We start from the raw sequence: 27,339 nt of genomic DNA, 5'->3' as shown, positions 1-27,339 counted from the left end.
CTAAAGATAAAGGATGGAAATATAGTTCATGCCAATGGAAACCAAGAAAAGAGCAGGAGTAGCTATACTTATATATCAGACAAAATGTATTTCAAGGAAAAACTGTAAGAAGAGACAAAGAAGGTCATTATAACATGATAAAGGGCTCAATTCAGCAAGAGAATAAAACAATTTTAAATATATATGCATCCAATGCAGTAGCACCCAGATATATAAAGCAAATATTATTAGAGCTAAACAGAGAGATAGACATCAATATAATAATAGCTGGAGACTTCAGCACCCCATCTTCAGCACTGGACAGACCTCTCAGACAGTAATTCAACAAAGAAACATCACAGTTAATTTGCACTATAGAAAAAAATGAACCTAATTAATCTTTACATATGATGTTATCCACTGGCTGCAAAATACACATTCATCTCCTCAGAAAATGTACCATTCTCAAAGAAAGACCATGTGGTAGGTCACAAAGCAAGTTTTAAAACATTCAAAAAATTGAAATAATACCCAGCATCTTCTCTGACCAAAATGGAATAAAAATAGAAATCAATAACAAGAGAAATTTTAGAAACTATACACCCACATAGAAATTAAACACTGTGCTCCTGAATGACTGATGGGTCAATGATGAAATTAAGAAGAAAATTGAAAATTTTCTTAAAACAAATGATAATGGAAACACAACATAGCAAAACCTATGGGATGCAGCAAAACAGTACTAGGAAGGAATTTTACAGCTATAAGTGCCTACATAAAAAAAACTTCAAATAAACAATCTAACAATGCATCTTAAAGAACTAGAAAAGCAAGATAAAACCAAACCCCAAATTAGTAGAAGAAAAGAAATAATAAACATCAGAGCAGAAATAATAAACATCAGAGCAGAAATAAATGAAATTGAAATGAAAGAAACAATACAAAAGATCAATAAAATGAAGTTTGTTTTTTGAAATGATGAATAAAATTAATAAACCTTTAGCCAGACTAACAAAGGAAATAAGACAGAAGACCTAAATAAAATCAGATATTAAAAAAGGAGACATATTGTTGATAATGCAGAAATTCAAAGGATTATTATGGCTACTATAATTCTTAGGCAATAAATTGGAAAACCTAGAGGAAATGGATATATTCCTAGACACATAAAACCTACCAATGTTGAGCCATGAGGAAATCCAAAACCTAAACAGACCAACAACAATTGACAAGATCAAAGCCATTAATAAAATGTCTGCCAGCAGAGACCTGGGACCTGATGGCTTCATTGCTGAATTCTACCAAACATGTAAAGAAGAACTAATGCTAATCCTACTCAAATTGTTTTGAAAAATAGGAGGGAATACTTCCATACTTCCAAACTCATTCTACGAGGCCAGTATTACCTTAAAACCCAAACCAGACAAAGACATGTTCAAAAAAAGAAAACTACAGGCCAACATCTCTGATAAAAATTAATGCAAAAATTCTTAACAAAATACTAGCAAACTGAATTCAATAATATATTACAAAGATCATAATTACCAAGTGGGATTGATTTTATGGATGCAAGGATGGTTCAACATTTGCAAATCAATCAGTGTGATACATCATATCAACAGGATGAAGGACAAAAGCCACATAATCATTTTATTTGATGCTGAAAAAGCATTTGATAAAATTCAACATCCTGCCATGATTAAAACAAACTGAAAAAACTGGGTATAGAAGGATCATATTTCAATATAATAAAAGCCATATATGACAGACCATCAGCTAGTATCATAGTGAATGGGAAAAAAACTAAAAGTCTTTTCTGTAAGATCTGGAGCAAACAAGGATGCCCACTTTCACCACTATTATTCAGTGTAGTACTGGAAATCCTAGCTAGAGGAGTCAGACAAGAGAAAGAAAGAAGTAAAAGGCATTCAAATTGGGAAGGAATAAGTCAAATTACCCTTGTTTGCAGATGATATGATCTTATATTTGGAAAAACCTTAAGACTCCACCAAAAAAAATTAGAACTTGTAAACAAACTTAGTAAAGTTGCAGGATACAAAATCAACATACAAAATTCAGTAGCATTTTTATATGCCCACAGTGTACAATCTGAAAAAGAAATTAAAAATAATCCCATTTATAATAGCCACACATAAAATTAAATAACTAGGAATTAACTTAACCAAAAAAATGAAAGATCTCTGTACTGAAAACTAGAAAACACTAATGGAAGAAATTAGAGAGGATGCCAAAAAATTGAACGATATTTTATGTTCCTTGATTGGAAGAATGAATGTTGTTAAAATGTCTATATTGTCACAGGATCCTTAGGATGTTGCTTTGCCAGCTGGAAACCTCTGTGGCCAGTGGCACCTTTGCCCAAGTTTTGCTTGGGCCCACTGGGCTCATTCCACCCATTCGACCTGGCAGACTGCGCTGGGCTTTCACTACCAGCCTGGATACCATGCCTGCCAAGGGTAAGCCAGGAATGGTGTGGTGAGGCTTGCATGAGCAGCGAGTACAGGGTCTGGCCACTGCACACAGCCAGACACTCTGGCTGCAGTGGGGCAGGCAGCTCCAGGCACCAGCGTAAGCACTGTCTCCCTGCTGCAACTGGACCAGACATACCGCAAGCGGCTTCCACTGTGGTCACTGGGAAATGTGGCAGCACCCAGAAGCTTGGAGATGCCAGGAACCACAGAACCCCAAAGAGGGTCTCACAGCCCTGGCTCAGGGAGCTCCTATGTCTGGGCTCCCCAAAGGGCCACAGTGCTTCTGTCCTTCTCTCTTTTCTCCTTCTTGTTGCCTGCAATGTGGCAAGCGAGGGGAAGGTGTGTTCCAGCACTGTTTGTGTTACAGCTCTTTCAGCCCTGCCATTTAGCAGGTCCTGAGTTCTTGTCCCATGTCCAGGAAAAATAAGAGATGTGGACTACTAGAGGGTGAGCAAGGTGAAGTGATGCTTTACTGAGTGACAGTACAGATTTCAGGAGAGCCAAAGTGAGTACCTTCTATGTGCAGGCAGGTCATCCCAATGAGTGTGCAGCCCTCAGCAGAGAGGAGATCCAGAGTGGGTAGCTCCTCTCCACAAGCAGGTCATCCTGTCATCTGCCCGAGTCTGACTGAATCCAGAGATTTTGTGGGCTTCAGAGGGGAGGAAGTACAAGCTGACTGGTCCATGGGTGGCCATGGGTGGGCCTGGAAAAAGCACAATAAGTTCTCACTCTGGTCCACAGAACTAGTAGCCTGGCCCCCAGGCTTCAGGCCATCCCTGGCTTAAAGGTGGAGTTTCACCAAGGACCTGCCCATTTCCACCCAGGAGCCTGTCTGCCTCCTGCCACCATTCATGATGCCCAGGCTGTTCATGCCAAGGGGAACCTGCAATCTTGTGCCAAGTCACCCTCAGCTACCCTAGGCTTCAGTAGTAGGGGATTTGTGTGTCAGTACCGGCCTGAGTGCAGGCACACCCAACCAGGTAGTGACAGCACCCAGGCTCAGCCACAACTCTACTCTGAAATCAGAGTGGGTACCAGGATTGGGAAAAGCCCAGGCAGTGGGAGCAGGCACTTCTGAACCTGTTGGGGTAGGAGGATTTTCTGTGTCCCCAAGACCACAAGGATGCCTGGGTCAGCAGACATAGCTGGGCAGCTACAGCTGCACCTGGGAGCACGGGGCTCCCACCCCACCAACTCGGACGGGGGTGGGGCTCCCACCCATTCCTGGCTCCCACGGGCCCCACAGAGCAAACAGCCCTGCCCAGGCCTCCTCTGCTGCAGCCAGTATCTTAGCAGCAGCCACTCCAGATGGGCCACTGCTGCCATCAATAGTACCAAAAGCAATCTACAGATTCAATGCAATCTTTACAAAAATACCAATGACATTCTTCACAGAAATAGAAAAAACAATACTAAAATTTATATGGAACCACCAAATACCCAGAATAGCCAAAGTTATCCTAAGCAAAAAGAACAAAAATGGAGGAATCACATTACCTGACTTGAAATTATAACCACAGAGCTATGGTAACCAAAACAGCATGGTACTGTCATAAAAACAGACACATAGACCAATGGAACAGAGTAGATAACCCAGAAATAAATGTATACACCTACAGCGAACTCATTTTCAACAAAGGTGCCAAAAACATACATTGGGGAAAAGACAATCTCTTCAATAAATGGTGCTGGGAAAACTGGATATCCATATGCAGAAGAATGAAACTCAATCTCTAGCTCTTGCCATCTATAAAGATCAAATCAAAATGGATGAAAGACTTAAAGGTATGAAACTATTACAAGAAAACATTGGAAAAACTCTCCAGGACATTGTTCTGGGCAAAAATTTATTGAGTAATAACCCACAAGCACAGACAACTAAAGCAAAAATGAACAAATGGAATCACATAAAGTTTAAAAGCTTCTGCACAGCAATGAAAACAATCAACAAAGTGAAAAGACAATCCACAGAATGGGAGAAAATATTTGCAAACTGCCAATCTTACAAGAGATTAATACCTGGAATATATAAAGAGCTCAAACAACTTTATAGGGAAAAATATAATAATATAATTAAAATGGGCAAAAAATATAAATAGACATTTCTCAAAAGAAGGCATACAATGGCAAGCAGGCATAGGAAAAGGTGCTCAATATCACTGATCATCAGAGAAATGCAAATCAAAACTACAATGAGATATAATCTCATCTCAGTTAAAATGGCTTATATTCAAAAGACAGGTAATAACAAATGCTGGCGAGGATGTGGAGGAAAGAGAACACTTATATACTGTTAGTGCGAATGTCAATTAGTACTACCACTATGGAGAACAGTTTGGGGGTTCCTCAAAAATCTAAAAATAGAGCTGCCATATGATCCAGCAATCCCACTGCTAAGTATATATCTAGAAGAAAGGAAATCAGTATAGGGAAGGGATATCTGCACCACCATGTTTGTTGCAACACTGTTCATAGTAGCCAAGATTTGGAAGCAACCTAAGTGTCCATCGACAGATGAATGGATAAAGGAAATGTGCTGCATATACACAATGGAGTATTATTCAGCCATTAAAAGAATGTGATCTTGTCATTGCAACATGGGTGGAACTGGAAGTCATTACATTAAGTGAAATAAGCCAAGCACAGCAAGACAAACTTTATATGTTCTCATTTATTTGTTGGGTCTAAAAATAAAAAACAATTGAACTCATGGAGGCAGAGAATAGAACGATGGTCACTAAAGTCTGGGAAGGGTCGTGGGGGCTGGGGAAAGAAGTAGGGGTGGTCAATGGATACAAAAAAAAAAAGTGGTTAGAAAGAATGAATAAGACCTAGTATTTGATAGCACATCAGGGGGACTATAGTCAATAATAATTTAATTGTACATTTTAAAATAACTGAAAGACTATAACTGGTTTGTTTGTAACACAAAGGATAAATGCTTATTAGGATAAATACCCCATTTACCACAGTGTGATTATTACACATTACATGCCTGTATCAAAGTATCTTATGTAACCTGCAAATATATACACTTACTATGTACCCACAAAAATGTATATAAAAAGAATACAAAATGAGACATTACTGCAAGTCCTATAGATATTAAATTATAACAAGTAAATATAATAACCAATGTATACTAATAGATTTATTTAATCTTTTAAGATTTTTAAAAATTATATATAAATATATTTATATATTATATATATTTTTTATATATTACATATATATATACTTGGGGTTTTTTTTTGAGATGAGGGTCTCGCTTTGTCACCCAGGATGGAGTACAGTGGCCTAATCTTAGCTCACTGCAATTTCCACCTCCCGGGCTCAAGCAACCCTCCTACTTCATCCTCCTGAATAGCTGGGATCACAGACACTTACCACGAAACCTGGCTAACTTTTCATATTTTTTGTAGAGACAGGGTTTTACCGTGTTGCTCAGGCTGGTCTTGAATTCCTGAGACAAAGAGATGAGCCTGCCCCAGCCTCCCGAAGTGCTGGGATTGCAGGTGTGAGCCACTGTGCCCAGACTATTTTTAATATATTTTTATTTTTATTATTATTTCAATAGTTTTGGGAGAATAGGTGGTGTTTGGTTACATGGATAAGTTCTTTAGGTGTGATTTCTGAGATTTTGGTGCACCCATCACCTAAGCAGTGTACATTGCACCCAATGTGTAGTCTTTTATCCCTCACCACCCTCCCACCCTTTCCCCCAAGTCCCCATAGTCCATTATATCATTCTTAAGCACTCTCATAGCTTAGCTCCCACTTATAAGTAAGAATATATGATGTTTAGTTTTCCATTCCTGAGTAAGTTTTTTAAACTTAGATTAAAAAGTACAAGTTCCTTGAAAAAAACACAAATTATTAAAAATGCCTCAAGAAGAAATTTTTAAATCCTCACAGTCCTCTATCCATTTAATAAATTGAATTTATAATTTAATGTATTTCCACAAAGAAAATGCTGAGCCCAGATGGTTTCATTGGTAAATTCTAACATATAAGAAAAAAAATTATGTCAATCATAAACACTCTTTCAGAAAAAGATGAGTAGAAAATACCTCCTGATTCTTTATATGAAGTCAATATTACCCTCATTCTTAAAACAGAGACATTACGAAAAGAAAAGAAAATGCAGCATATAAATACATCTCATGAATATAGACTCAAAAATCTTCCAAAAAATTCTAGCAAATTAAATCCAATAGTAAATAAAAAAGACAGCACATTATGACTACATGTGATTTATCCCAGGAAAAGAAAATAATGCTGCAGAAAATACATCTATTGACACAGAAATACACTTACAAGGCCAGGCGTGGTGGCTCACACCTGTAATCCCAGTACTTTGGGAGGCCGAGGCAGGTGGGTCACGATGTCAGGAGTTCGAGACCAGCCTGGCCAGCACAGTGAAATCCCATCTCTACTAAAAATACAAAAAATTAGCCCGGCGTGGTGGTGGGCACGTGTAATCACAGCTGCTTTGGAGGCTGAGGCAGGAGAATTGCTTGAATATGGGAGGCAGAGGTTGCAGTGAGCCGAGATCGCGCCATTGCACTCCAGCCCAGGAGACAGTGCAAGATTCCATCTCCAAAAAAAAAGGGAGAGAGAAATACACTTACAATAAAACTACAGGAAAATATCAGGCCACAAAAAGTGTATCATGCTACATAATCTCTTTGAGGAGAAAATTCATAAATGTGTACAAATAGAAAAAAATCTCAGTGACTTCCCTAGGTTTGATGCAACTATCTGATCCAAACCTAGAACAATGTTTTATGTAAAAATAAATAATTAAAAAGATATAATTGAGGTCAAGAAACAAGAGTTACCAAGAACATAAGTGTAAAGTTATGAGAGTGGTTGAAACCAAACATGCACAGAGCTCTGTGTCCTGAAGCACCATGTAACAGCTGAGAGTCCACCACTGTGAGCTAAGGAGAGTAGAAAAGTTTCATGTAAGACAGTATTGTCTGCATCATTGCTTGAAAAGAGACTTCTCTCTCAGTCCCTGTCATCATGAAAGGAGGCTGACCTGTGTGTCTAGAACAGACATGAGCTTGTGACCTAAAGATAAACTAAGCCACCTTAGGTTTGTTTTGGGTTGACTTCCCCAGAAGCGAAGTCTGAGATGAGGTGATCAATTTACTGAAAGCGTTCTTTCAGGAGAAACCCATAATGGAGTGAGGAAAGCAGAACAGTGTAGAAGCAGCAGCTAGGCATATCATTTTAGGAAAAGCATGATCCCGCAGGGAGCTCTGAAATTTAAAATGTGTCAAAGATTGTCTTGTCCAGAAGAAGGAGGGAGAAGCTCTTACACTCTTGCTTCAGTCAGTCATTGGCCATATGCCAACTCCCAAAGTGAAGTTGTGAATCCTTCAGAAAACAAAAGATAAAAAACTTCTATCAGTCAAAGATAATCTTTTAGAAAAGAATACAAGTGTGATCTATTAGCAATCAACACCCAGAGCAGCTGGGTGGGGCACCAACAGCAATAGCATCTGCTACAGTGGGTGGTTCTATCTGTGATATCCTGACTTATGGTAGGAGCAGGAGCTCCAAAATGCCATTACAAAACTTGATTCTAAATGGTAAGGCTTAGGAAATCCAGGCAGAAACAATCACAAAACTACAAAAAACAGAGTGAACACAGAGGTTTGTGTGTGAGGTAACAGGAATAAAAATAAAACACTAAATAAATCAATAAAACACTCGCACACAATGATATTTTATACCAAAATCCACTACACATAAAGAAATCAAATGCTAACAAAGATAGCAAAAAAACCAACAATCAGGACACAGATTCACTCCAAATAAAATTAATGTTATGCAGCAATCTGACAAAGACTTTCAAATAAGTTTTCTTAAGACTCTCAAATAACTAAAAAAAAAAATCCAAGGAAGAAAAATAAATAAGCAACAAAAATGAAAATGAAACAGGAAAAATAGGAGGATGAAAAAGAATAAGTTTCTGGGTATGTACCCAAGGGAATAGAAATCATTCTACGAAAAAGACACATGCACACATATATTCATTGCAGCACTATTCACAATAGCAAAAACATGGAATCAACCTAAATGCCCATCAACAGTGAACTGAATAAATAAAATGTGATACATATATACAATGGGATCCTATGCAGCCATAAAAAAGAACAAAATCATGCCCTTTGCAGCAATGTGCATAGAACCAGAAGCCATTATACTAAGCAAAATAATGCCAGAACAGAAAACCAAATACAGCGTGTTCTCACTTGTAAATGGGAGCTAGACATTGCATACACATGAACACAAAGAAGGGAACAATAGACACCAGAGCCTACTTGAGGGTGGAAGGTGGGAGGAGGGTGAGGGTTGAAAAACTACCTGTTGGGTACTATGCTCATTACCTGAGTGACAAAATAATCTGCACATCAAACCGCTGTGATGTGCAATTTACCCATGTAACAAACCTGCACATGTACCCCTTCGAAACTAAGACAAAAGGAAAAATGAAATAGAGACTAAAAAAGATACAAAATATTAATAAAATGAAGTTGTTTTTTTAAAAGGATAAACTGCTAGCTAAGGCACCAAGAAAAATAGAAGACCCAAATAAACAAAATCAGAAATGAAAAAGAAGACATTACAACTGATACTACAAATACACAAAAGATCATCATAGATTATTATAAATAACTCTACACTAACAAACTGAAAAACCTACAGGAAATGGATAAATAGTGGACACATACAACCTACCAAGATTTAACCAGGAAGAAACAGAAAGCCTGAACAGACCAATAATGGGGAATAAGATTGAATCAGTAATAAAAACTCTCTCAACAAAGAAAAACCCTGGCCTGGATGGCATTACTGCTGAAATCTACCAAACTTATAAAGAAGAACTAATGCCAATTCTTCTCAAGCTCTTCCAGAAAATTGAAAAGGAGGAAATTCTTCTACACTCATTCTATGAGGCCAACATTACCTTGATACCAAAACTAGACAAGGGCACAACAAAAAAAGGAAAACTACAGGCCAATATTCCTAATGAACATAAATGCAAAAATCCTCAACAGAATACTAGCAAATTAAATCCATAATGGCATCAAAAAGATAATATACCATGATCAAGTGGAATTTATCTAGGAATGAAAGGATGGTTTGACCTACACAAATCAATGAACATGATACATCACATCAACAGAATGAAGGACAAAAACCACTTTTTATATTGATCATTTCAATATACGCAGAAAAAGCATTTGATAAAATCAACATCTTTTTATGATAAAAACTCTAAACAAATTAGGCATAGAAGAAACAGACATCAACATAATAAAAGCCATATATGATAAACCCACAGCTAACATCATACTGAATGGGGAAAAGCTGAAAGCCTTTTCTCTAAGAACTAGAGTAAGACAAGGTTGCCCATTTTCACCACTCTTATTCAACATTGTGTTACAAGTCCTAACTAGAGCAATCAGGCAAGAGAAAGAAATAAAAGGAATTTTAATCAAGAAAGAAGAAGTCAAATTGTCCTATGTTGCAGATGATATGATATAGAAAAACCTAAAGGCTCTACCAAAAACTTCCTAGAACTGATAAACTCAGTAAAGTTGCAGGATACAAAATTAACATACAAAAATCAATGATGTTTCTATACACCAGTAACAAACTGTGTGCAAAAGCAATTCCATTTATAATAGCTACAAAAAATTAAAATACCTAGGAATAATTTTAACCAAGGAGGTAAAAAGCATCCTTTTTGTAGTAAGACTACAAAACACTGTCTAAAGAAATTGAAGAAGACACAAAAAAATGAAGAGCTACACCATGCTCCTGGGTCAGAGGAATTAATATTGTTAAAATGGCCATACTACCCAAAGCAGTCTACAAATTCAATGCAATCCCTATCAAAATACCAATAAAATTAGTGACAAAAATAGAAAAAAATCCAAAATTATGGAAAAGCAAAAGAGCTCAAGTAGAAAAAGCAATCCTGAACTAACAGAATAAAGCTAGAGGTATCATACTATCTGACTTCAAATATACTACACAGCTATAGTAACCAAAACAGCATGTCATGAGTATAAAGATAGACACACAGACCAATGGAGTAATATAGAGAATCCAGAAATAAATCCACATAATTACAGCCAACTAATTTTTGACAAAGACACCAAGAACATGGGGGGAAGAACACCCTATTCAATAAATAGTGCTAGAAAAACTAGATATAAGTATACAGGAGAATAAATATTAAATCCAAAACTATTTTAACGACAGTAATAGATTATGACCACAAATAGTTTATCTTAAGACTACAAGGATAGTTCAACATCAGGAAATTAACCAGTTATGATCTAAACTATTAGATGCAACGATAGAACAGCATATTATCTCGATATGTACAGAAAAAGCACCCAATATAATTCTCCATTCATTCATGATTTAAATATAAAAACCTCTTATTAAACTAGGAGTAAAAGTAAACTTCATCAGATTAATAAGCAGTATCTATTAAACACCTGTAGCAAACATCACACTTAAAATGGAACGCTTTAGAAGTATTGTCTTGTCAGGAACAAGACCATGATTCTTTATTGCCCCTTCTATTTAACTCTGCCTTGGATACCTAAGTTAATCACACAAATCAAGAAAATAAATAAATTTAAAATTGAAGTCAAATCTGTTCTTATTTTTAGAAGATATGGTTGAATTACATAGAAAACTTGAAAGTCATTTTAAAATATATGAGAACTAATAAAATAACTTAGCAAGATTTTTGAACATTAGGTCAACATATCAAAATTAGTAGTTTACTCATAAATAAGTAATAATTAGAAAAATGGAATAGAAAAAATTCCCACTTACAAAACTGCAAAAATATGCAAAGCATTTAGGAATAAATCTAAAAAAAAGTGAAAGTTTCATGATGAAAATTATAAAACATTATTAAAAGAAAGATCTAGATAAATGAAGATATTTGCCATAGTTATATGTGAGAAGACAGAAAATCTTAAAGACATTAATTATTCCCAAATTAAATTGTTAAAATCAATGCAATTCCAAATAAAATTTTGGTAGGGTTTCTCACTCAATTTCACAATTTGATCCTAAAAAGCATGCAAGAGAAGAAAGGGCCAAGAATAGAAGACAAAAAGCTGGACGAATTATGAAATATGCACCTGGCATAGGAACAGATCAATGAATAATTAGAACCAAATAAAGAGCCTAAAAACAGACCTAGCCATATGGGGAAATACACTATAGATGAATATGGTGTCATCAAGTATAACAGAATGAATAGATTATTTAGTGAAAGTTTGGGAGAGTTGATTATTTATGTAGAAGACAGAAATTAAAATTAACTCCCTGCACAATTAAAATTAACACCATACACAAAAAGGTTCTGGATGAATTAAAAATCTAAATGTGAAAAGCAAAAACTGTAAAATTTTATAACTGAGGAGCATGTATGTATGACCTCAGCATAGAAAATATTTATTTCTTAAACACAACATAAGTACAGGCCATAAAGGAAAACATTTAAGGTTAAATACATCAAAATTAATAACTTCTGCACAACAAAAGATATTTCAGTCAAAATAAAAGGTTATCTATGGTATAGATACTTACAAAGTATATAACTAGAAAAGATTCATCTCCAGAGTCTGTTTTTAAAAATGCCTACAATTCAAGATGGCCGAATAGGAACAGCTCCGGTCTACAGCTCCCAGCGTGAGCGACGCAGAAGATGGTGATTTCTGCATTTCCATCTGAGGTACTGGGTTCATCTCACTAGGGAGTGCCAGACAGTGGGCGCAGGTCAGTGGGTGCGCGAACCGTGCACGAGCCGAAGCAGGGCGAGGCACTGCCTCACTTGGGAAGCACAAGGGGTCAGGGAGTTCCCTTTCCGAGTCAAAGAAAGGGGTGACGGACGGCACCTGGAAAATCGGGTCACTCCCACCCGAATACTGCGCTTTTCCGACGGGCTTAAAAAACGGCGCACCACGAGATTATATCCCACACCTGTCTTGGAGGGTCCTACGCCCACGGAGTCTCGCTGATTGCTAGCACAGCAGTCTGAGATCAAACTGCAAGGCGGCAGCGAGGCTGGGGGAGGGGCGCCCGCCATTGCCCAGGCTTGATTTGGTAAACAAAGCAGCTGGGAAGCTCGAACTGGGCGGAGCCCACCACAGCTCAAGGAGGCCTGCCTGCCTCTGTAGGCTCCACCTCTGGGGGCAGGGCACAGACAAACAAAAAGACAGCAGTAACCTCTGCAGACTTAAATGTCCCGTCTGACAGCTTTGAAGAGAGCAGTGGTTCTCCCAGCACGCAGCTGGAGATCTGAGAATGGGCAGACTGCCTCCTCAAGTGGGTCCCTGACCCCTGACCCCTGAGCAGCCTAACGGGGAGGCACCCCCCAGCAAGGGCACACTGACACCTCACAGGGCAGGGTATTCCAACAGACCTGCAGCTAAGGGTCCTGTCTGTTAGAAGGAAAACTAACAAACAGAAAGGACATCCACACCAAAAACCCATCTGTACATCACCATCATCAAAGACCAAAAGTAGATAAAACCACAAAGATGGGAAAAAAACAGAACAGAAAAACTGGAAACTCTAGAAAGCAGAGCACCTCTCTTCCTCCAAAGGAATGCAGTTCCTCACCAGCAACGGAACAAAGCTGGATGGAGAATGACTTTGACGAGCTGAGAGAAGAAGGCTTCAGACGATCAAATTACTCTGAGCTACGGGAGGACATTCAAACCAAAGGCAAAGAAGTTGAAAACTTTGAAAAACATTTAGAAGAATGTATAACTAGAATAACCAATACAGAGAAGTGCTTAAAGGAGCTGATGGAGCTGAAAACCAAGGCTCGAGAACTACGTGAAGAATGCAGAAGCCTCAGGAGCCTATGCGATCAACTGGAAGAAAGGGTATCAGCGATGGAAGATGAAATGAATGAAATGAAGCGAGAAGGGAAGTTTAGAGAAAAAAGAACAAAAAGAAATGAGCAAAGCCTCCAAGAAATATGGGACTATGTGAAAAGACCAAATCTACGTCTGATTGGTATACCTGAAAGTGATGAGGAGAATGGAACCAAGTTGGAAAACACTCTGCAGGATATTATCCAGGAGAACTTCCCCAATCTAGCAAGGCAGACCAACGTTCAGATTCAGGAAATACAGAGAACGCCACAAAGATACGCCTCGAGAAGAGCAACTCCAAGCACCATTTATTAAATAGGGAATCCTTTCCCCATTGCTTGTTTTTCTCAGGTTTGTCAAAGATCAGATAGTTGTAGATATGCGGCATTATTTCTGAGGGCTCTGTTCTGTTCCATTGGTCTATATCTCTGTTTTGGTACCAGTACCATGCTGTTTTGGTTACTGTAGCCTTGTAGTATAGTTTGAAGTCAGGTAGCGTGATGCCTCCAGCTTTGTTCTTTTGGCTTAGGATTGACTTGGCGATGCGGGCTCTTTTTTGGTTCCATATGAACTTTAAAGTAGTTTTTTCCAATTCTGTGAAGAAAGGCATTGGTAACTTGATGGGGATGGCATTGAATCTGTAAATTACCTTGGGCAGTATGGCCATTTTCATGATATTGATTCTTCCTACCCATGAGCATGGAATGTTCTTCCATTTGTTTGTATCCTCTTTTATTTCCTTGAGCAGTGGTTTGTAGTTCTCCTTGAAGATCTACCAAGCAAATGGAAAACAAAAAAAGGCAGGGGTTGCAATACTAGTCTCTGATAAAACAGACTTTAAACCAACAAAGATCAAAAGAGACAAAGAAGGCCATTACATAATGGTAAAGGGATCAATTCAACAAGAAGAGCTAACTATCCTAAATATATATGCACCCAATACAGGAGCACCAAGATTCATAAAGCAAGTCCTGAGTGACCTACAAAGAGACTTAGACTCCCACACATTAATAATGGGAGACTTTAACACCCCACTGTCAACATTAGACAGATCAATGACACAGAAAGTCAACAAGGATACCCAGGAATTGAACTCAACTCTGCACCAAGCGGACCTAATAGACATCTACAGAACTCTCCACCCCAAATCAACAGAATATACATTTCTTTCAGCACCACACCTATTCCAAAATTGACCACATACTTGGAAGTAAAGCTCTCCTCAGCAAATGTAAAAGAACAGAAATTATAACAAACTCTCTCTCAGACCACAGTGCAATCAAACTAGAACTCGGGATTAAGAATCTCACTCAAAACTGCTCAACTACATGGAAACTGAACAACCTGCTCCTGAATGACTACTGGGTACATAACGAAATGAAGGCAGAAATAAAGATGTTCTTTGAAACCAATGAGAACAAAGACACAACATACCAGAATCTCTGGGATGCATTCAAAGCAGTGTGTAGAGGGAAATTTATAGCACTAAATGCCCACAAGATAAAGCAGGAAAGATCCAAAATTGACACCCTAACATCACAATTAAAAGAACTAGAAAAGCAAGAGCAAACACATTCAAAAGCTAGCAGAAGGCAAGAAATAACTAAAATCAGAGCAGAACTGAAGGAAATAGAGACACAAAAAACCCTTCAAAAAATTAATGAATCCAGGAGCTGGTTTTTTGAAAGGATCAACAAAATTGATAGACTGCTAGCAAGACTAATAAAGAAAAAAAGAGAGAAGAATCTAATAGACGCAATAAAAAATGATAAAGGGGATATCACCACCGATCCCACAGAAATACAAACTACCATCAGAGAATACTACAAACACCTCTATGCAAATAAACTAGAAAATCTAGAAGAAATGGATAAATTCCTCGACACATACGCTCTCCCAAGACTAAACCAGGAAGAAGTTGAATCTCTGAATAGACCAATAACAGGATCTGAAATTGTGGTAATAATCAATAGCTTACCAAAAAAAAGAGTCCAGGACCAGATGGATTCACAGCTGAATTCTACCAGAGGTACAAGGAGGAACTGGTACCATTCCTTCTGAAACTATTCCAATCAATAGAAAAAGAGGGAATCCTCCCTAACTCATTTTATGAGGCCAGCATCATTCTGATACCAAAGCCGGGCAGAGACACAACAAAAAAAAGAGAATTTTAGACCAATATCCTTGATGAACATTGATGCAAAAATCCTCAATAAAATACTGGCAAAATGAATCCACCAGCACATCAAAAAGCTTATCCATCATGATCAAGTGGGCTTCATCCCTGGGATGCAAGGCTGGTTCAATATATGCAAATCAATAAATGTAATCCAGCATATAAACAGAGCCAAAGACAAAAACCACATAATTATCTCAATAGATGCAGAAAAAGCCTTTGACAAAATTCAACAACCCTTCATGCTAAAAACTCTCAATAAATTAGGTATTGATGGGACGTATTTCAAAATAATAAGAGCTATCTATGACAAACCCACAGCCAATATCATACTGAATGGGCAAAAACTGGAAGCATTCCCTTTGAAAACTGGCACAAGACAGGGATGCCCTCTCTCACCACTCCTATTCAACATAGTGTTGGAAGTTCTGGCCAGGGCAATTAGGCAGGAGAAGGAAATAAAGGGTATTCGATTAGGAAAAGAGGAAGTCAAATTGTCCCTGTTTGCAGATGACATGATTGTATATCTAGAAAACCCCACTGTCTCAGCCCAAAATCTCCTTCAGCTGATAAGCAACTTCAGCAAAGTCTCAGAAAACAAAATCAATGGACAAAAATCACAAGCATTCTTATACACCAGCAACAGAGAAACAGAGAGCCAAATCATGAGTGAACTCCCATTCACAACTGCTTCAAAGAGAATAAAATACCTAGGAATCCAATTTACAAGGGATGTGAAGGACCTCTTCAAGGAGAACTACAAACCACTGCTCAAGGAAATAAAAGAGGATACAAACAAATGGAAGAACATTCCATGCTCATGGGTAGGAAGAATCAATATCGTGAAAATGGCCATACTGCCCAAGGTAATTTACAGATTCAATGCCATCCCCATCAAGTTACCAATGCCTTTCTTCACAGAATTGGAAAAAACTACTTTAAAGTTCATATGGAACCAAAAAAGAGCCCGCATCGCCAAGTCAATCCTAAGCCAAAAGAACAAAGCTGGAGGCATCACGCTACCTGACTTCAAACTATACTACAAGGCTACAGTAAACAAAACAGCATGGTACTGGTACCAAAACAGAGATATAGACCAATGGAACAGAACAGAGCCCTCAGAAATAATGCCGCATATCTACAACTATCTGATCTTTGACAAACCTGAGAAAAGCAAGCAATGGGGAAAGGATTCCCTATTTAATAAATGGTGCTGGGAAAACTGGCTAGCCATATGTAGAAAGCTGAAACTGGATCCCTTCCTTACACCTTATACAAAAATCAATTCAAGATGGATTAAAGACTTAAACGTTAGACCTAAAACCATAAAAACTCTAGAAGAAAACCTAGGCATTGCCATTCAGGACATAGGCATGGGCAAGGACTTCATGTCTGAAACACCAAAAGCAATGGCAACAAAAGACAAAATTGACAAATGGGATCTAGTTAAACTAAAGAGCTTCTGCACAGCAAAACAAACTACCATCAGAGTGAACAGGCAACCTACAAAATGGGAGAAAATTTTCGCAACCTACTCATCTGACAAAGGGCTAATATCCAGAATCTACAATGAACTCAAACAAATTTACAAGAAAAAAACAAACAACCCCATCAAAAAGTGGGCAAAGGACATGAACAGACACTTCTCAAAAGAAGACATTTATGCAGCCAAAAAACACATGAAAAAATGCTCATCATCACTGGCCATCAGAGAAACGCAAATCAAAACCACAATGAGATACCATCTCACACCAGTTAGAATGGCAATCATTAAAAAGTCAGGAAACAACAGGTGCTGGAGAGGATGTGGAGAAATAGGAACACTTTTACACTGTTGGTGGGACTGTAAACTAGTTCAACCATTGTGGAAGTCAGTGTGGCGATTCCTCAGGGATCTAGAACTAGAAATACCATTTGACCCAGCCATCCCATTACTGGGTATATACCCAAAGGACTATAAATCATGCTGCTGTAAAGACACATGGACACATATGTTTATTGTGGCATTATTCACAATAGCAAAGACTTGGAACCAACCCAAATGTCCAACAATGATAGACTGGATTAAGAAAATGTGGCACATATACACCATGGAATACTATGCAGCCATAAAAAATGATGAGTTCATGTCCTTTGTAGGGACATGGATGAAATTGGAAAACATCATTCTCAGTAAACTATCGCCAAGAACAAAAAATCAAACACCGCATATTCTCACTCATAGGTGGGAATTGAACAATGAGATCACATGGACACAGGAAGGGGAATATCACACTCTGGGGACTGTTGTGGGGTGGGGGGAGGGGGGAGGGATAGCATTGGGAGATATACCTAATGCTAGATGACGAGTTAGTGGGTGCAGTGCACCAGCATGGCACATGTATACATATGTAACTAACCTGCACAATGTGCACATGTACCCTAAAACTTAAAGTATAATTAAAAAAAAAAAAAGACTACAGATTGGGGCAGTGTACACCGCTCGGATGATGGGCGCATCAAAATCTCACAAATCACCACTAAAGAGCTTACTCATGTAACTAAACACCACCTGTTCACCAATAACCTATGGAAATAAAAAATTTAAATAAATACATTAAACTTCCAAACACCCCATCTCCAAATACGATCACATTAAGGGTTAAAGCTTCAACATACGAAACTGGGTAGGGAACTGGGTAGGGAGTGGGGCACAGAATTCAGTTTATAGCATCCCCCAGGTCAGAAATAAATAAATAAATATAAACAGGCAATTCACAGGAAAGAAAACCTGAGAAGACAATAAATATATGAAAATGTGCTCAAACTCATTAATATCTGCAGAATGCAAATTATAACACTAATGAGAAAACATTTCACATCCATCAAATTTATGAAAATTCAAAAGTTTGGCAATGCCAAGTGTTGGTAAGGATATGCTGGTAGGAGGGTAAATTAATACTATTACTTTGAAAAACAATTTGGCATTATCTAGGAACTCTGAAGATGCTCATACTCTCTCCAAAATAGTGTTTTAGAGAAACTCTAACTCTTGTGCATGAGGAAACATGTGTAATAATGTCCATTGCAGCTGTTTTCCTGGGAGCAAACATTTGGAAATGATTTAAATATCTATCAATAGAAATGAATAAATTTCAATATATTTTCTGGAATGGAATATGTTTAATGGAACACTTAAAATAAATGTGGAAAACTTCAAATTGAGAGAACAACAAATACTAATATTGATAAAACACACACTGCAGAATGATACAGACATAGGACCATTCAGATAAAATCTTAAAATGTGCAAAATTTTGCTATTTACAGTTTAGGGATGCATACATAGATAGTAAAAGTATAAAATAAGCATGAGTACTCAGAAGAGAAGCAGAAGAATAGGACCGGCGCAATGGTACCCTGTGGTCTCCAATTGTATCTTTCATTGTAACTCTGTTTCCCAAAAAGAAAGAAAAACTCTATATATTTTCTATGTTTGAAATATTTCACAATTATTTTAAAATCTAAAAGGAAAACTAAAATTAAAGTTTTAACAGATTTCTTTTCCTTTTTCATCGTTGTGGTTGTTCAGAAAGGCCAATTCATTTTTTTCTGAATATAAAATAATTAGGCTTTCTTTTTATCTGAATATTGTGTGACTGTGTGTGTGTGTGTGTGTGTGTGTGTGTGTGTGGTGTAGCACTTAATTCTTTAGTAATAACAATGAAAGTTAGCGTAATTGGAAAATTTGTTTCTCCATCAATCATTTAGAATGTTTGGTGGAAAAGTGATTTTTCTGGACTATGCAGATAACTATCTCATCAAGGCCTTGACATGTGTGGACATGACCTCACCCATGGTGGTTTCCAGGATTTGGATGGGAACCAGTTTCCGCCTATTTCACCACCTCAGGAGAAATGCGAGGTATTCTTCCCGGGGGCACCCAGTCAGCGCTGCATCTACCCGAGAGTCCCTGCCCAGCCATGCAATCATTTCTGAAACTAATGAGATCAGCAGCTTTTCACGAAACCATGAGTCATACCTATTGGTGAGGCTTTCCAGGCTTGAGGAGTGCCTTGAAGTGCCGGCTTCACCAGATGTTCTGGCATCACCAATCCTTCCCCTAATTCTGAGTGCCACATCTGACCCACTGCCAACGGTCACAAGGTCGCCAGCGGCCAAAAATCACCTTGGGCTTCAGGTAAGGACCTGTAAAATCAAGGCAATACCAACTAAAATTCCAGCTGGATTGTTTTCAAGGAACTTGATCATCTAAAATTTATATTGGTTCACAAATTACCAAGACAACATTAACTTTAAGACATATTAGAGACTGATAATGAAAACAGTGTGGTAATGTTTCAAAAACAAATTAGCCAACAGAAGAGAAAAAATTAGTGTCGGACAAATAGATAATAGATTACGCATTCATTGAGAGACACTTTGTTTAATAAATATTGAGAAACTAGAAAACTGAAATTAATGAAATCCTCATTGAACTCCTTAAACAAGGATAGATTCTAGATTAATTAAAGGCCTAAATGTGAGCTATAAAACTAAAATAATTAGAAGAAAATGTAGAATATTTTTGTGACCTAGGGGCTTGTGGCAGGGAAAGAGAGAGCATCAATAAAACTTCCAGAGCACAAACCCAATGGCAATGAAAAAAAACCCTTGAAAGATTTGACTATAACAAAACTGTGGATTTTTGTTCATTGAAGGACATCATGAAAAAAAAATAGGGGAATGACAGTATTTAAAAGGAAAGTGAGAGAGCACCTCAGAAGATATTTGTAATCTCTAAAACCAATATCTAAAATATTCAAACAAATTCAATAAATTTCCCCAAATACAATAGCCCCAATAAGAAAATAGAGGGTATGAAAAGACAATTTGAAGAAGAGGAAACACAGAAGATTACTTAGTATATTAAAGTCATTCAAAATTACTAGTAGTCAGAGGAAAGCTGTTTTTAAATGTAATGTTTTCAATTGATAAATAAAAAGTATATATATGTATGGTGTACAAAATGATGTTTTGAAATATGTATAGATTTGTGGAATGGCTAAACTCAGCTAGTTACCATATATTAGCTCCACATACCATTTTTTGTGGTAAGAACACTTAAAATCCACTCTCTTAGCAATTTTCAAGTACACAATACATTGTTATTAACTATAGTCACCGTGTTTAGAGAAAAGTAATTTAAAACAAGGAGATATCACTTTCTACCTTCTGAACCAACAACAATCCCAAGCTGGACAGTGGAAGTGTTGATGAGGATGAGATGCCACAAGAAAGTTCATTACTGTGGGTGGGAGTTAGGACCCAAAGATTCCAGGTGTACATCCCAACGAATTCTTTACCCAACCCCACAGGAGACCATGTACAACAAACACATTAAACAGAATGGTCACCCATGGTAAGAGGCATGGAAACTGGAGTGAGTAGGAAAATAAAAGACAGTACATAAACATGTAAAATTTAAAAAGAAATGCTTCAGGGCCTAATAATAATTATGTTTCATAAATTGTGGAGTGTGATCACCTCTGCAGCTGAGAATATTCTTGCCCTGTAAGTGCTCATTATCTCATGGAGAAAAATATACTACACATGTCAAATAAATTTTATATATATATATTATATATATATATATATCTCATATATATAAGGAATTATGGTGTCTGGTAAAGAGATGTCCAATATACAGATGTTTGTAGTAAGCCAGGCAAACTGTGATAAAAAAGCCATAACACAGAGTGTATTACAACATAATGTAGAGTGACCAACATCTACTTTTGCAAAGACTGAACTCATTATAATTCTTCCTCTGGGGGTATGTTAATGGCACAGTTTACACAATGGAAAAATCTAGGCATAAATTGTCTGAGACAATGCATCCTAGATGCATCTGTACAGATTTATGGAAATGCATTAAGAGTACCTAGTTTTTTGCAATTTTCATCAGCAAATTGAACCACACATTGATAATGAGAGATAGCACTTTGAACACATCGCCTATTGTCTGTAATATCAATAAAACATTTGTTATATATATTTTTCTATGTTTCTAGCCTTTATGAACACCCTGTAGAAGAGCACAGTACCCAGAGAAAATAAATAATTCCTATGTTCTTTTTCCCTCCATCTCTAGAGTTTCTCACCCACCATGTTTTAATGCTTGCTCCTACCTTATTTATATAGTGAATATATTGAAATAAAAGAAATGCCACGAATAGGAGAACAATCAAGCCCATCATTTTTCCCACTTGAAAGAAAATTATATGGTCATTAAAAATAACATTAAAGTAGAAGAAGACTGAGAGCACTAAGGAGGAGATGAGGCATCTTGGCCAGGAATACAGACAGATTTAAGAGCAGAGCTCAGGTTTTCCCTGGTGAGTCATTTGGTTGGTATCCTCAATGCTTTATCCCAACTGCATACCTCTACCAATCCTTTGGGAATTCCAAATGGCCATTGACAATAGCAGGTCACGCATGGAGAAAAAAAAGAAAATAAAATATGTTTTCAAAACTGATTGGGTAAAGGCATAGAGATTTGTAGAGGTATAAAAAGTAATCCTAGATTAATACAACTAAGTTTCATTTATGCTAAGGTGCCATTAATTGTAAGATCCTCCATATTTCATGTATCATTAAGTAAGAAAAAACACTTTCAATTAAACTATCACATAATATCATCCTTGAAAAAATAGTAATACATGTTTAGCAGCCTGGCAAGCCTGGATTTACATCCCAACTGTTCCACTTTTAGCTGTGTGGCTGTGAACAAATGAACTAACTTTTCTAAGCCTCAGTGTTAGCCTTTGTAATATAAAAACAGTAATAGTACCTACTAATTTATGTGGAGATTAAATGGGATAGTGGATCTCATATAGTGTTTAGCATGGTGTCTAGCACATACTGATTATCAATACTTAAAATATATTAGCTATTTTAATATTAAAGTTTATAGTAATATGCAAAGTGCTTAGGGTATAATGATAATGAAAAGACAGGATACAAAATTATGCTGTAATTTAATCTCAACTACGTTTTAAAAAAGTAATGCATAGAACAAGGGCTGGAAAGAAATATACAAAATTGTTAGCACATATGTTAAGACATAAAATATATACTTGAGAGGTAAAACTATCGATATTTTTCTATTTTATATTTATTTTTTTCTCGTTTCCTAACTTCTCTATAATATTAATTTTAATGAGAAATATGTATTTTTATGACTTACTCCTAGATCCTTCTTTTATACCCAAATACCACTATTGAATGAGTAAACTAATGCACCCCACTGTAAGGTAAATAAATGTGCCTGTAAAACATCCATCCTACCACTTCTCATTCCAGCCCAAGGACAGATCTCTCTCACAGAGTCCTACCTGAGAGTCCCTCTCAACACATTAGTTTAGCTCTTTCCTTCTTTTGAAATAGTATGATGGGTGAAGCCTATCCCTGATCACATCAGTTATTTTTTCCCAGGATATTTACATGTTAATAATGATCAAAACTTTAAGCAAAAGACAAAAAACTCAAGGTAGAATTCTAAGTGGCCCATATTTGGGAAAGGAGATTTAGAAGGAGAGGTTTTTCAATCCCAACAACTTCATTTTCCTTTACCAAAAGATTGTAAGATTAATGACAGGGTACCATGTCTTAAGCTTATGGTGAAAGTCCAGATTTTCCTAAATAGTCAATAATGTTAAATACTCTACCGCTTGTGCTGGTCAGGAAACATGTTCCAACCTTGGTTTTGCCTCCAGGCTCCCTGAACTCATCTCTTTTTATATTCCAGGCACCTGGCTCTCAACACACTCTAAATCAATTGATTGTCAAATGATTGATTGCTCCTAGCCCAAAAGAGACTTCTTTCTTTCCAAGCAAAGCCATGATTCCCCTTGCTCTCAGACCTCATTCCTCACCTCCTTAATCTACCTTAACAGAATGGCACAGTGCAGGTGGCTGACAAGTGAACTAATTTTCTCAGGCATGTCCTAAGAACCAGTTTCCAGGGAGACAGAATGCGTGGTCAGTACCATGCCATGCCCATGCTTTGGAAAGCCACTGGAAATGACTGGTAGGTGAGTCATGTAGCTTTGTCACTGTGTTTGTTTACAGGGACCAAAGCTATATTTGTGTTTAAGCATGAAAATTAAAGAATCCATCTCAGGAAATAACCAGAGGCTCATATTACTGCAAAGTACCTGCAAAATGTGCTGTGTTGGCTGCAGGTGGAGGTATTCGGGCCTTTGAAACTCCACTAGAAGATAGCAGGCATCTGTTCCCCCATAATGGGTAGTTTACAAAGGGATGTTTACCTATGAAAAGGCCGAAGCAAAGAGGAGATTGTGTCCTTCCACATACTCAGAAGGAGGGATGGGAGGCGGCTCTAGGACAGCCTTTCAAATTGTTGGTTGATGTGGTGGAGAACATGTTTCAGAAAACTTGCATTCAAGTTCCGCTTCTGTCACTTAATGGCCATGAGATCTTGGGTGAGCCTCAACCTGCCTGAGCCTAAGTTTTCATCATTTATAAAACAGGGACAATAATTATAGCATGTTGAGATGAATAATTGAGACAACTTACATTGAGCTCCTGATATGTAGTAGATGCTCACTAAATGTTTCATTCCTTATTCATTTTCTTTCCGTTTTTCCAGGTGTAGAAATGTAGGCTTAGAGAGACACTACGATTCCCCCAAAGGTATCACACATCAATGAATGGTGAATGACAGTCATCCTTTCTCTGTCTGAAAGTGAAAAACCTGGAACTTTAGATTTCAGACTTGAAACATAATATATTTTCTGAAAATTCTTTTTACCATCTCACCTACCAATGCCAGATGGTAGAGCAGGCAGTTGGGACTGACATTGAGGAGGGGAGCCAAGAGAGGAGAAATCTCTACAGAAAACACTTGCTGAGAAATCTCTTAGCTCTGTGGAGTGACATCATCCTCCCCAGCTGGAGAACCAGGTGAAGGCAGCATGTGGGAGGGTCCAACCCAGCATCATTGCATGTGGATGCTCACTGTAGTCATCACTCATGGCTGACCCAACACCATGTCATTGTAACAACAATAACTATAATAATGAAAACTCCCACTTACTGACTGTTTCCTTTGTATCCAGTTACAGGCCAAACATGCCCACCTCGTAGGTTTGTTGTGAAGATGCACTAAGGCAATGTATATAAAACACTTAGCAGAGCTCCTGGCTTCTAGTAAGTGCTCAACAAATGGTAGCTGCCTGTGCTTTACATATATAGGCTCATTTCATCTTTGTAACAACTTTATGAAATGGGCATTACTATCTCTATTTTACCAATGGTGATGCTGAGGCTTAGGTGGATAAAGGAACTTGCCCAAGGTCAAAAATCTAGAAAGCAGTCAACATATAACCCATATATGTTTAAAGCCAAAGCCTGTGCTTTTAGCCATTAGGATATACTGGCTCACAGTCCTGCTTGTGAAAGTTGTGACATGCTGAACATTCTTGGTTTAATGTTGCCTTGGTTTGTCCTTTCCCCAGAAACCTCCCATGGGCACAAGCCCTGCAGCTGAGCCCAGCTGGAGGGAAGCGGATGCTGTATTATACCAAAGGAGGTCTGGCTCCATGCTCACTCTTCATTGCCAGGAGCCTGAGATGGAAGACATTGGCTCAGAAAGAAAGACATTGGAGTGAGCTTTTATAGTAGGGAGCTTAGAGGTCACCTAATCACCAAAAGTCAGTGGACTTGTTTGTTTGTTCCAGTTTGATTTGGTGTCATCTTGCTTTGGAATGTTTTGTTCCAATGAAATTATATAGGAAAGCTCAAAATGTAAAGCCACAGTGGAAGCACTCTGTTGAAAATGAGTGGGAAGCCCAGAGCCTCATCCCTTTTGAGAAGCCAGGCATCACCTCCTTATTCTAGAGGGGTGGCCAAGCACTTGGAGACTAAAGGACTGTGGCCTCAGCATGTGCACAGAGACAGCCTGGGTAGTGGAGCGGACATGGGGCTTTAAAGTCAGACAGCCCAAGGTTCAAATCTCATCTCTGTCTTTTGTGAAGTGTGCAATTTGGTAAAGGAAGATAGCTTTTCTGAACACGTCTTATTGAAAAATAAGCTCTGATCTAAACCTAAGAGGAGAAAAAAAAATGCAGTAATAGATGAAAATATCTTCAGACAGCAAATGCCACTCAGAAGACAGGAACAACTATAAGGCATGAGGTCACCAATTTTGGTTTTTGTTTTGTCTTTCTGGTTTGTTTTGTTTTTGTAGAAAGAAGAAGAAACTTTTTAAGGGTTAAAATGAATAAAGAAAGAATGCCTTAAGATAAGCAAACACAATTACAGAGGCTTAAACGTGCACATCCTTGCCTTGATTCAACATTTACTGTATGCCCAGAAGCGTGTGGTACTGGGATGGAATAAGCAATATGACCTACTACCTGCCTTGGGGGCTAGTGTACCTAACAGTCACAAACACACACACGCGTGCACACACACACACAGAGGGAAAAATTTCAAACTCTTCTCAGTGTGGTAAATTAGGACACCGCAGCAGCTTGGTGTCCTCAATCTTGGGAGTCCCTGTGCTGGTTCCTGTTAGAGCCAGAAAAATACTACAAGTTTCTCATATGGGGCAAGCTTTGTCTAAGGTCTCAACAGCTCAGGACTTAGACTCTGTTTTTTCTGGATCTGGTTTGACCCTGAGATTCATTTATCAGCCTCTGCCTTGATTTTCCCACTCCTGGTATAACAGGATGACTTGAAAAGCCTTTCTTTTCTACCATGAGTGCATTTTCCACCCCTAACCTTGTCTCTGGAAAGAAATACGAGGATCAGAATGCAATAGCTTTTAAAAGGGCACTTCCCTCCAGGTCTCAGATATAAGCTTTCTTAGCTAATATATTGAAATTTATAGATAAAACAGGCTCAGAAGGGAAACAAATGTTCCCATAGCTTCTGGATACATAATAAGCCAGGATTATTGTCTCTTAAGGAAAATAGGCCCAGTCATTGCTGGTGAAGAGGGACCAAACCAAGTCAGGGAGCCCAGAGGCTAATGCTCCTGCCCCTTCTGGCTGAAGGCAGGATGTGGGGAGGAGAAAGAACTGGGGAAACATTAAGATCAAGGCAGATCAAACATTAAGACTGTATTAGTCGTTCTCATGCCGCTGATAAAGACATACCCGAGACTGGGTAATTTATAAAGGAAAGAGGTTTAATGGACTCACAGTTCCATGTGACCGGGGATGCCTCACAATCATGGCAGAAGATGCAGGAAGAACAAAGGGACTTCTTACATGGCAGCAGGCAAAGAGGGCATGTGCAGGGGAACTCCCCTGTGTAATATCATCAGATCTCTTGAGACTTATTCTCTATCACTGAGACTTATTTGCTATCATGTCTTTCCCATGCTGTCCGATATCATGCTATTGGTCAGCATGGGAAGACCCATCCCCATGATTCAATTACCTCCCACTAGGTCCCTCCCATGACACGTGGGAATTATGGGAGCTACAATTCAAGATGAGATTTGGGTGTGGACATAGCCAAACCATATCAAAGACTGAGGCTCATTAACAAGGAAGAGACAAGTGTGGGATCTTGGGAAAGTTACTGAATATCTTGAACTTAGGATGAAAAACCAAATATATGTGCATTAAATTATTCCAAAAATATTTATCAAGCCCCTATAATGAGTATGTTATTAATAGCATCTATTACTGCACAACAAATTATCCCAAAACTTAGCATCTTAAAATAACAAGCATTTATTTTC

The 27,339-nt window shown here is 37.9% G+C and overlaps 1 long non-coding RNA gene and 1 pseudogene across 1 annotated transcript in view, besides 4 other annotated features; both read right to left on the bottom strand.

The window, feature by feature from the left end:
• Positions 1-12,406, bottom strand: part of LOC102723568 (uncharacterized) — a 185,086-nt gene extending 172,680 nt beyond the window's left edge. Inside the window, exon 1 of the long non-coding RNA XR_007062652.1 lies at positions 12,111-12,406. This is a non-coding gene — a long non-coding RNA (uncharacterized LOC102723568). The remainder of the gene's footprint in view (positions 1-12,110) is intronic.
• Positions 1-27,339, bottom strand: part of NDUFB8P3 (NADH:ubiquinone oxidoreductase subunit B8 pseudogene 3) — a 36,042-nt pseudogene that overhangs the window by 5,265 nt on the left and 3,438 nt on the right.
• Positions 12,423-13,066: an enhancer, noted in NCBI's record as "NANOG-H3K27ac-H3K4me1 hESC enhancer chr11:34713481-34714124 (GRCh37/hg19 assembly coordinates)". NCBI's record gives its function as "activates a minimal SCP1, AML or CMV promoter by ChIP-STARR-seq in naive H9 embryonic stem cells {active_cell/tissue: H9 hESC(naive)}" and the evidence as "EXISTENCE:reporter gene assay evidence [ECO:0000049][PMID:30033119]".
• Positions 19,081-20,280: an enhancer, noted in NCBI's record as "P300/CBP strongly-dependent group 1 enhancer chr11:34706267-34707466 (GRCh37/hg19 assembly coordinates)". NCBI's record gives its function as "activates an origin of replication core promoter dependent on BRD2, BRD4, P300/CBP, MED14 and CDK7 cofactors, with strong dependence on P300/CBP, by STARR-seq in HCT116 cells {active_cell/tissue: HCT116}" and the evidence as "EXISTENCE:reporter gene assay evidence [ECO:0000049][PMID:35650434]".
• Positions 19,441-19,610: an enhancer, noted in NCBI's record as "active region_4607". NCBI's record gives its function as "activates an Ori minimal core promoter by ATAC-STARR-seq in GM12878 lymphoblastoid cells {active_cell/tissue: GM12878}" and the evidence as "EXISTENCE:reporter gene assay evidence [ECO:0000049][PMID:35858748]".
• Positions 23,636-24,835: an enhancer, noted in NCBI's record as "BRD4-independent group 4 enhancer chr11:34701712-34702911 (GRCh37/hg19 assembly coordinates)". NCBI's record gives its function as "activates an origin of replication core promoter dependent on BRD2, P300/CBP, MED14 and CDK7 cofactors, and independent of BRD4, by STARR-seq in HCT116 cells {active_cell/tissue: HCT116}" and the evidence as "EXISTENCE:reporter gene assay evidence [ECO:0000049][PMID:35650434]".

This window comes from Homo sapiens, chromosome 11, assembly GCF_000001405.40.
Source record: "Homo sapiens chromosome 11, GRCh38.p14 Primary Assembly".
Taxonomy (NCBI): domain Eukaryota; kingdom Metazoa; phylum Chordata; class Mammalia; order Primates; family Hominidae; genus Homo; species Homo sapiens.
This window is presented reverse-complemented; position numbering and strand designations above follow the sequence as displayed.